The sequence below is a fragment of the Homo sapiens genome, chromosome 1 (assembly GCF_000001405.40).
Source record: "Homo sapiens chromosome 1, GRCh38.p14 Primary Assembly".
Taxonomy (NCBI): domain Eukaryota; kingdom Metazoa; phylum Chordata; class Mammalia; order Primates; family Hominidae; genus Homo; species Homo sapiens.
Window position 1 is genome coordinate 16,002,973 of NC_000001.11, and position 10,876 is coordinate 16,013,848.

The 10,876-nt window shown below is 52.1% G+C and overlaps 1 protein-coding gene across 1 annotated transcript, besides 3 other annotated features; it reads left to right on the top strand.

Moving 5' to 3' along the window:
- Positions 1,084-1,949: an enhancer, noted in NCBI's record as "NANOG-H3K4me1 hESC enhancer chr1:16330551-16331416 (GRCh37/hg19 assembly coordinates)". NCBI's record gives its function as "activates a minimal SCP1, AML or CMV promoter by ChIP-STARR-seq in primed H9 embryonic stem cells {active_cell/tissue: H9 hESC(primed)}" and the evidence as "EXISTENCE:reporter gene assay evidence [ECO:0000049][PMID:30033119]".
- SRARP (steroid receptor associated and regulated protein) lies at positions 1,264-5,835 on the top strand. The gene is made up of 2 exons (NM_178840.4): positions 1,264-1,413; positions 2,947-5,835. Exons 1-2 carry the CDS (start codon positions 1,332-1,334, stop codon positions 3,372-3,374), a joined length of 510 nt encoding a protein of 169 aa, NP_849162.1. The 5' UTR covers positions 1,264-1,331; the 3' UTR covers positions 3,375-5,835.
- Positions 9,917-10,126: a silencer, noted in NCBI's record as "silent region_321". NCBI's record gives its function as "represses an Ori minimal core promoter by ATAC-STARR-seq in GM12878 lymphoblastoid cells {active_cell/tissue: GM12878}" and the evidence as "EXISTENCE:reporter gene assay evidence [ECO:0000049][PMID:35858748]".
- Positions 10,277-10,536: a silencer, noted in NCBI's record as "silent region_322". NCBI's record gives its function as "represses an Ori minimal core promoter by ATAC-STARR-seq in GM12878 lymphoblastoid cells {active_cell/tissue: GM12878}" and the evidence as "EXISTENCE:reporter gene assay evidence [ECO:0000049][PMID:35858748]".

Sequence of the window (10,876 nt, forward strand, 5' to 3'; positions counted from 1 at the left end):
CTAAAAAAAAAAAAAAAAAAAAAAAAATACAAAAATTAGCCAGGTGTGGTGGCACACGCCTGTAGTTCCAGCTACTTAGGTGGTTTACACAGGAGAATCACTGGAACCCAGGAGGCAGAGGTTGCAGTGAGCTGAGATCACACCACTGCGCTTCAGCCTGGGCAACAGAGCAAGACTCCATCTCAAAATATAATAATAATAATAAAATTAAAATAAAGTGCACTTCTGGCCAGGCGCAGTGGCTCACACCTGTAATCCCAGCACTTTGGGAGGCCAAGGCAAGCAGATCACCTGAGGTCAGGAGTTCGAGACCAGCCTGACCAACACGGAGAAACCCTGTGTCTATTAAAAATACAAAATTAGCCGGGTGTGGTGGTGCATGCCTGTAATCCCAGCTACTCGGGAGGTTGAGGCAGGAGAATCACTTGAACCTGGGAGGTGGAGGTTTCAGTGAGCTGAGATTGTGCCATTGCACTCCAGCCTGGGCAAGAAGAGCGAAACTCAGTCTCAAAATAAATAAACAAATAAATAAATAAAGTGCACTTCTCTCTCTCTCTTTCTTTCTTTCTTTTTTTTTCTTTTTTCTTTTGAGATGGAATCTCGTTCTGTCACTCAGGCTGGAGTGCAGTGGCGCAAACTCGGCTCACTGCAAGCTCCACCTCCCGTGTTCACGCCATTCTCCTGCCTCAACCTCCGGAGTAGCTGGGAGTACAGGTGCCCGCCACCTCGCCCGGCTAATTTTTTGTATTTTTAGTAGAGACGGGGTTTCACCGTGTTAGCCAGGATGGTCTTGATCTTCTGACCTTGTGATCCACCCGTCTTGGCATCCCAAAGTGCTGGGATTACAGGCATGAGCCACCGCGCCCGGCCAAGTGCACTTCTTTTTCAGTAAAAACAGTTGGCTGACTTCAAGGACATGTGAATTAAGTAGCATTACGTATAGTTCCTAGACAGGGGAAAAAGCCAAACTGGTGGAACCACTGGATAATGACTGAGGTTTGGGAAACTGAGGCTGGATGAGAAGGTTCCAGAGGCCTACCCTAAATCAGGAAGCAGCTGCGCTTGGTAGAAATAGTGTCTGTTTGGTCTGTTTGGTAGGAGGCCTGCCTCCCATTGAGCCAACAATAATCCTGTTGACATAACCCTGTTGATCAAAGCGATCCCCTGACTGCTCTGGGCCAGTTCCTTTGGCTCCTGGTGGAATGCACTCAGAGAATCCGGATCCGGTCAGTATAAAAGGTCTGGTCCCGCAGTGGGGGAGCCACATCCTGGAAGAGTGGCCTAGGACAGCTCCTCTCCTGCCAGAGCTAGGCAGGCGCCGAAGTAGCCGCATGGCCCCGTCAGAAGACCCCAGGGACTGGAGAGCCAACCTCAAAGGCACCATCCGTGAGACAGGCCTGGAGACCAGCTCCGGTAAGAGGCGGCAAAGGGACCCCAGCCCCACAGAAACACCAGCTGGGGGCCAGGTGCGGTGCCTCATGCCTGTAATCCCAGCACTTTGGGAGGCCGAAGCGGGCAGATCATGAGGTCAGGAGTTCGAGACCAGCTTGGCCAACATAGTGAAACCCCATATCTGCTAAAAATACAAAAAATTAGCTGGGTGTGGTGGCGGGTGCCTATAATCCCAGCTACTCAGGAGGTTGAGGCAGGAGAATCGCTTGAACCCAGGAGGCGGAGGTTGCAGTGAGCTGAGATCGCACCACTGCACTCCAGCCTGAGCAACAGTGTGAGACTCCATCTCAAAAAAAAAAAAAAAAAAAAAAAAGCAAGACCAGCTGGGGGTGGGTGGGGGTCTGATGGCAAACATGCTACCTCCCTTGGGTTGCTGGGATTCTCCAGCCAAGGGCGGGCTCGTTTTATTTCCTGTGCTAGCCAACCTACTAGAACATAAGCTTCCTTCTGAGCCCACGTCGTGTTTCACAGCACGTAGCTAAGAGAATGGATGTGTATGTTATTTGGGTAACTCAAAAAGTTACCTTTTTAAGAGCACAGGCTTTGGATTCAGATACAATTGCTCAGACACCTGCTTCATTGATAAGTCTATTGGCTGGTTTGTCCATCCCTCTACCCTGTGCTGGGCTCTGAGCGGGGGGATTGCCAGGGCAAATGCCACCAGGTACTGATGGGATTCTCTGAGGCTGTGGACAAGATTATCTGGGGAGGGGGAGAGTAGCAAGATGCTCCCTGAGACCCACCAACACTTGTGCAGGCTGAGCCTCAGTTTCCTCACCTGGAAAGATGGCCAGGGCTTTCCTCTCTGGGGTTGAGGACTGTGCTTTTCATAATATGGTCCATGGACCAGCAGAATTGGCATCCCCTGGGGACTTGTTAGAAACGCGAGTCTCAGGCCCCACCCCAGCCCCACTGCACCAGACTCTGCATTTTAACAAGCTCCCCAGGCAGCTCATGGGAACAGCAAAGTTGGGAGGCACTGACATGTTGGACTCTGTGTTCCTGGAAGGCAGATGGATGGATGGTAAGTGGAGACTTGAACTCAGGTCTCTCTGATGCTGAAGTCCATACACTTAAACCCTGACTGTCCTCCTCTGTTGGTGTATCAACCAATCCAGTTGAACCCTATCGAATGAATAAACAAATGAATTCAGGAAACCATGTCCCAGTCGGGTGCAGTGGCTCACGCCTGCAATTCCAGTACTGATTGGGCTGAGGCAGAAGGATTTCTTGAGTCCAGGAGTTTGAGACCAGCCTGGGCAACATAGGGAAACCTCATCTCTACAAAAAATTTTAAAATTCACCAGGCATGGTGGCATGAGCCTGTAGTCCCAGCTACTTAGGGGGCTGAGATGGGAGGATTGGTTGAGCCCCCTGAGGCTGAGGCTGCAGTGAGCCATGACCTCCAGCCTGGGCGACAGAGTGAGACCCTGTCTCAGGGGAAAAGAAAAGTCCCCTGCTTGTGCTAACTTTTGGTCTTTTCCTCTCTTCTAGGTGGGAAGCTGGCTGGCCATCAGAAGACCGTCCCCACGGCTCACCTGACTTTTGTTATTGACTGCACCCACGGGAAGCAGCTCTCCCTGGCAGCAACCGCATCACCACCCCAAGCCCCCAGTCCCAATCGAGGGCTTGTCACCCCACCAATGAAGACCTACATCGTGTTCTGTGGGGAAAACTGGCCCCATCTGACTCGGGTGACCCCCATGGGTGGGGGATGCCTTGCCCAGGCCAGGGCCACCCTGCCGCTCTGCAGAGGGTCTGTGGCCTCAGCTTCCTTCCCAGTCAGCCCGCTCTGCCCCCAGGAGGTTCCCGAGGCTAAGGGGAAACCCGTGAAGGCTGCGCCTGTGAGGTCTTCAACTTGGGGAACAGTCAAGGACTCACTGAAAGCCCTCTCCTCTTGTGTCTGTGGGCAGGCCGATTAGCTGGAAGGGCCGGGCTCTGATGCCCAGAGGCTGCAATTCCCAGGGCCTGGCCCTGCTTCCCCAGCTAAGCAGGAGTCTTTTGTGCTTGAGCCAAGGAAACATCATTAGATCCGCTAAGGGGCATCTGAAACATCCGTCGAGTGGCAGAGGCAGGATAAGTCACCTGCACATGAAGAGACTCATTCATTCATACAGCAAATATTACTGGTACATCTTCCACATGCCAGGCCCTGCAAAGTGCTGGGGAGATACCATGGTTTTCCTGGAGCTGGTATTTTTGGGGTGGAGGGAACCCACCCTGAATAAATAAAGTAACCCAATAAATAAAGAAGATGATTTTGAACAGCGATGAATGCTCTGCAGGAACTGAAACAGGATGCTAGAGGGAGAGTGATTGGGGTGAAGACCTTTCCTGATGCAGTGCTTGGTAAGGGCCTCTCTGCGCAGGCAACAAAGTGTGATCTAAAAGATGAGAAGGGGCCAGCCCTGAGAAAATCCACCCTCCCCAGGGCCACCTGCTGTCATCTTACCCCAGGGCAGGCCAGAGCAGTGGTCAGAATGCCCCAGCATGACGGGGAGGGGCAACGGGTTTCTTGCTGCCATCTTGGCTCAGAGGCGAGTGTGTAGGTCACTGCAAAGGCAGGGGATACCACGTGGGGAGACTCGAGGGCCATGCCAGTTGGGGCTGGGAGGCTCAGGGAAGTTGGCTCCAGGAGACTCCATCCCATAAGGCAGCCCAGGTGGGACCTGGGGATCTGAGATGGGAAATAAGGGGATCTGGCTTCTCAAAAGGGAGGGAGGTACTCAAAAATAGAGTATCATGTTTGAACGAATGAAAACAAGACATGTTATTTATTGAGCATCTACTGCATACCAGGCTCATGCTGCCCTCTAGGGATAGCAAAAAAAAAAAAAAAAGGTGGGGGGAGGAGGTTCACCCCTCAGGGCAATCGTGTTCCCTGAGCAGGAGGTGGAGTTACTGGTGTGGGTGTGAAGGTGTCTGTGAGTCTAAGGCATGCACAGCACTGTGAGAAACCCTAAAGCAACCTATTTAAGGAAGTCAGTCTCAAAGCTCCCAGATAAAAATCACTGGGTTTTTCTGTATTTATTTTAGAGACAGAGTCTCACTCTATCACCCAGGCTGGAGTGCAGTGGAACAATCACAGCTCACTGCAGCCTCAAACTCCTGGGCTCAAGTGATCCTCCTGCCTCAGCCTCCCGAGTAGCTGAGACTATAGGTGCACCACTACGCCCAGCTTGACTTCTTTTAGTAGAGAAGAGGTCTCACTGTGCTGCCCAGGCTGGTCTTGAACTCCTGGCCTCAAGCTATCCTCCCGCTTCAGCTTCCCTAAGTGCTTGGATTATAGGTGTGAGCCACCGTATCTGGTCATTAATTTATTCAATGACTATTTTACTAGGTTCCTACAAATACTAGCTGCTAACATTTAACATGTAATTGACCATTTACTCTGTGTCAGAGAAACAACATGGGCACTGTATTTGTGACCATTTTATAGATTAGAGAGCTGAGGCACAGAGAGGTTGAAGAATGGACTCAAAGTTCCATAGACTGGTACCATTGAGATTAGAACTCAGGCAAGTCTGGTGCCCATATTCTTGCTTGTAACTGTAAGGTATATACCCTCTCATCCTGGTAGCGTCTCTTCTAGGCAGAGGGGACACACAGAGGATAAATGTAACCCTGTCCTCAAGGAGCTCACAGCCAGGTGGGGGAGGCCAGAAAGAAAGCACACAATTGCCATAGCTTCTGAGAAGTGCAACAGTAAGGGCAACACAGAATGATGCTGGAGGACAACCAGCCCACTCTAGAGAGAGGAGATCAGGGAGGACTTCCTGCAGGAAGTGATGCCGAAAATGAGATCTGACCGGTGACTAAGCTATACAAAAGGGTGGGGTGGGGGAGCAAGTGGGGAGTGCTCTGGGCAGAAGGACCAGTCGTTCAGTCTGGCTAGGGTAATTGTCATTCATTCATTTATTCACCAAGTATTTATTGGGCATCCACTGAATGCCAGGCTTTGGGCTAAACCATGAGATGGAGCAATGAATAAGACAATGAGGCCCAGCCACAAAATAGTTTATCCTCTAGTTGGGGGAGACAGGCAATGCACACACACAAAACAAACAGATCAGAAAGGTGGCAGGAGGCCAGGCGCGGTGGCTCATGCCTGTAATCCCAGCACTTTGGGAGGCCAAGGAGGGGGAGGCGGGGGGAGATCACCTGAGGTCAGGAGTTCGAGACCAGCCTGGCCAACTTGGCGAAAACCCGTCTCTACTAAAAATATAAAAATTAGCTGGGCGTGGTGGTGGGCACCTATAATCCCAGCTACTTGGGAAGCTGAGGTGAGAGAATTGCTTGAACCTAGAAGGCAGAGGTTGCAGTGAGCCGAGATCTCGCCACTGCACTCCGGCCTGGGTGACAGAGCAAGAGCAAGACTGTCTCAAAAAAAAACCAAAAAAGTAAAAAGAAAAGAAAAGTGGCAGAAGCTGCATCAGGTGAGGCCTGGCAGGCTGCAACAAGACCTTTAGATCTTAGATCTTATTCCCAGATGGCAGCACTGGAAATTGTGAGCAGACAGCGTCATGGCCAGACGTACCTTTGGAAAGGATCCCTCCGGGCCTTCTGACTGCAGGGAGGAGGCACCGGAGGCTGAGTCTTAATCCTGAGAAAGGAGAGCAATGGTTTGGACTAGAGAGGAGGACGCAGTACAATCTGGTCGACATATGCCCATTCTACTCTCCTGAAGGCCCCAAGGACAAGGCTGCAGAGGGAGTTTGAGACCCTCAAGGAGAAAGGAGACCTGTGGCTGCACATCCGGCTTTTCACCAGCAGGTGTCGCCCTCTCATCAGACTAGAGGACACTGGGTCCAGGCCTGGACAGGGAAGGTGTGGACCTGCTGGGTCTGGGACTAAAGCCTTGGGGCCAGCCAACCAGTGGGTCTGTTTTTCAGAAGCCAGACTCATTCTAACCAATACTCCTTTCATCCAGAATAATGAATGTTTACTTTATGCCAGGCACCCAGCAAAGTGACATTTCAGAATTGAACCCTGGGGGGTCTTGGTGAGGATTCAGAGGAACCAGGCACTTATACCACTTATACTTGCTCCGTAAAGGGAGCTGTCATCATTACTATTGATGTCGTCAGTTACTATAGCTGTCGTCATTACGGGGCAATTGAATATACACCCCACACCCCATCAGTTCACCTGACCCCAGTCATGTGAGGTCGGCATGATTTCTCTTGCCATTTTACAGAGGAAACTGAGGCACAGAAAGGTCGAATACTTTGCCCAAGGTCACTAACTGGAAACCGGTAGAGCCCAAATCCAAACCTCAGGCAATGTGACTGCGCACTGCGCTTGCAGCCCCATACTGTGCTGTGAACACACTGGTCACAGCGGTTCAATAAGTGAGTGAAGAATGATCCAGCCTGGCACCCGGCAGCATGTGGGGAGTGTCCGGAGACTGAATGGGTGGTAGGGCCCTCGCTGAGATGGAGCACACAGGCGGAGTAGCCAGTGGGGACATGGGGAGATGACAGGTTCAGGAGGCGGATGTCGTGTGAGGGACTGTGGGACATGCCGGAGGGGATGTGGGCAGGTGGTGACCCATTCCCCATTGGAGCTCTGGTCAGAGGTTGAGGCTGGCAATGGGGCTGCATTGGTATATAGGTTGGTGATGAAGTTGCTCTGGGAAGGTGAGGTGTGAGACCAGGTCATCAGGCCTGTGAGAAACCAACTTACCTGTCCAAACCCAAAGAATGGGCTCAGAGGCACATAGAACAGTGGAAGAGAGACTTTTAATGATGGTCTTACGAGATCGGGTGTCTGGTGGGCAGGCACACCCAGCACAGTTACAACAAGCAATTTATCCCCTAGTGCGCAGGTCCCTCCCCTGGTTCCTCATAGGCTGAGTACTGTAGGATCACAATCTTCCTGGATGTCGCCTATTGGTTGTTGGGTAGGAGCTTTTAGGTGTTTTCTTTAGGATTTTCTTGTTGCATTTTGTTGCAGCCCACAATACATTGCAATCATAGCCAGCTTAGGGTTTTCTTAAGTATCTGACTTATGACCTAGGTAGTCAGGCAAGCTGATAAGAATAGACAAAGCGAGCTATTTTGCAGGCTAGTGAACTTTCATTCTAGACTCAACTTTTTTGGTTTGGGTGAGGGCAACTAAGCGGGCCCCGACAAGCAGGCGCCGGCTATCAAAGCAGGGGCCTAGTATATTCTGTTCTTCTGTAGTTTGCGGACTCAAACCTATTCAAGCCACTTTGTTTTGGAAATGGACCACTGTATACATTATTTCCTTTAGGCCCAAGGTGACAGAGGTGTGAAAAACTTGGAATATGCAAAAAAGATCACAAAACATATCCAATACCATCTACGCATCGTCTGATTCTCAAGGGGGTGAGCATTTTTCTTTGCCTTTGAGCTATTTTACAACTCTGTCTATTGTAAGTAGCCCGTAGGAATGCAACATACTTCTTGTCTACAGACAAGCAGATTCTGTCCTGTCCTGTTCAAGTCCAGTGGACTCTCCTTCCCAACTGTGGAAGAAGCCAGTGTTACCTCTGTGCACATTCATTTCAATATTCCCTGACCTACAGATATCATCTGTTCTTTGCCTCCTTCTTTGAACTGCTTGTGACATCTTACTGGTTCCTTCATTAACCATGAATTAAGTAAAATCATCAGTGAGAATGTAAAATGGTACAGCCACTTTGGGAAACAGTCTGGCAGTTCCTCAAACAAACATGGAGCTTTCAGAGGACCCAGCAATTCTGCTCCTAGATATATACTCAAGAGAAGTGAAAACATTCGTCCATGTGAAAATCTGCACAAATGGCCAGGCGTGCAGTGGCCGGTGTAATCCCAGCACTTTGGGAGGCCAAGGTGGGTGGATCACCTGAGGTCAGGAGTTCCAGACCAGCCTGGCCAACATGGTGAAACCCCGTCTCTACTAAAAATATAAAATTAGCCAGGCATGGTGGTGCACGCCTGTAATCCCATCTACTCAGGAGGCTAAGGCAGGAGAATCGCTTGAACCCAGGAGACGGAGGTTGTAGTGAGCCGAGATCGCGCCATTGCACTCCAGCCTGGGTGACAAGAGTGAAACTCTGTCTCAAAAAGAAAAAAAAGAAAATCTGCACGAGTGCACAGAGCAGCACTAGTCACCAAAACCAAAGGGTGGAACCAAACCCAAGCATCCATCAACTGATGAAAAGGTAAGCAAATTGTGACCTAGCCATGCAACAGAATATGTTTCAGCCTTAAAAAGGAAAAGATTATTGGTCCATGCTACAATATAGATGAATCTCGAAAACATTATGCGAGGTGAAAGATGTCAAATACAAAAGGTCACTTTTTTTTTCTTTTTCTTTTTTTTTTGAGACAGGTTCTCACTCTATTGCCCAGGCTGAAGTGTAGTGGCTCAAACATGGCTCACTGCAGCCTCAACCACCAGTGCTCAAGCAAGTCCTCCAGCCTCAACCCCCAAGTAGCTGGAACTACAGGCATGTGCTACCATACCCTGTTAATTTTTGCATTTTTTGTGGAGATGCAGTTTTGCCATGTTGTCCAGGCTGATTTCAAATAAATACTTTGTATTTATTGAGCTCAGGCAATCCACCCTCTTCAGCCTCCCAAAGTGCTGGGAATGCAGGAGTGAGCCACCACACCCGGTCATTTTTTATTTTATTTGAGTCAGGGTCTCACTGTGTCACCCAAGATAGAGTGCGGTGGTGCGATCACGGCTCGCTGAAGCCTCCATCTCCTGGACTCCAGCCATCCTCCCACTTCAGCCTCCCGACTAGCTGGGACCACAGGTGCACGTCACCATACCAGCTAATTTTCGTATTTTGTGTAGAGACGGGTTCTTGCCATGTTGCCCAGGCTGGTCTCTAAACCTTGGGCTCAAGAGATCCTCTCACCTCAGGCTCCTGAGCATGCGCTACTTCCATCTGACTTTGAAGACAGGGTTTGGGAAGGGGCTCTGAACATCTGCCTGGGCTCTTTGTGCTCTGGCTCTGGAGGGCTTCCTGGAGGAGGAGGCCTTTGGCCTCTGCTAGGCCTTCAAAGTGAGGAAACCTTCTAGGTCCTCTCTGCCCCTCCCAGTCTCTGGTACTACCTGACCTGGACTTTCTCACAGGTCTCCAGCCCCAGAGAGCTGCGTCTTTTCAATTTCCCCTACCTGCTGCCCAGGCCCACCCCCAAAGCTACAAGACGCGAGAGCCCCCTTTCCCTGTGGGGGCTGCCAGGGTGGGAGGAGGGAAGCTGCCTCAGCCCATTGGTGGTGGCGACTGATCCAGGTTGACCCAGCAGATGGCCTTCCAGAGCCATAGCAAGGATTCACATCCCAACCGTGCCACTTCCAGGCTGGGTGACCTTGGGCCAGTTGCCTGACCTCGCTGATCCTCCGTGTCCTTCTAGGCACACCGTTAATCATAGTACCTGCTTTGCAGGACTCTTGTGGGAATCAGCGGCGCGCCTGGCACACACTAGTTGCTCAATGAATGGGGCGGCTATAATTACTCTTCCGGGTGGGGGCGGGGCGCAGGGCCTGCAGCCAGGCCTATATTTAGCCTGGAAGGGGGTTGGGGGCGCTGGGAGACAAAGCGCCGCGGCCAGTCTGGGCGCCCAGGGGGCGGAGCCGGCGAAAGCCCCGCGGCCGACCCGCCCTCCCCTACCGCAGGGTCACCTTGGCCGGGCTGGCGGCCAAGGGCTCCTTCAGACCCGACGTGCCCCAGCGGCCCAGCGGCCGCTTGGTCCCCTGAGCAGTCCTCATCCTCGCAAACTGCTGTCTGGGGAGGGGGCTGCTGGGGGCTGGGGGTGGTTTTCGGCCCCACTGACCACTTGGGAAGCTGCCCCCTTTCCCAGCACCGGCCGGCCGAGGGAGGGCTCGCTGAGATCCGTACGCCAAGGTGAGCCTGACCCCGGGTGGGGGGCGTGGGAGGGGGAGCCAGGCTGGCTCCTCCCCCAACCTCGCGCCAATGAGTGTCGGGGCTGCAAATAGCCCAGTGGAATCAGTGAGTCATGGAGGCTGGAAATACCGCGCCCCCTCTGATCCCCTCCCCTCCTCCTGACCGCAGCCGGTGGAGCTGCACTGGGGAGCAAGCCTGGGGGTGTGAGGGGTGGGGGACCCCTCCGGAGAGCTCCCCTCCCCAGGCTCCCTGAACCAACCCGGACACCCCCGCCCCCAAGTTCCAGCTGGCTTTGCCTCTGGGGCTGTGTGACCCTGGGCCAGTCACTCAGACTCTCTGGGCCGCAGAATCCCCATTAGGTACAAGAAGGGCTTCAAGAGGGCAGGCGACCCGGTGCAGCCTGCCCACCTTTGCGTCCCTGCGCCTGGGACTGAAACAGTGCCCGCCACATAGCAGGACAGTAAATATCTCTGGAAGGAAAGAAATAATAAAAAGGGAAGGGCAGGCAGTTGGACGAGAAGGTGTTGCAAGGGTTTTCCAGAAACAATCCTGGGGTTCCTG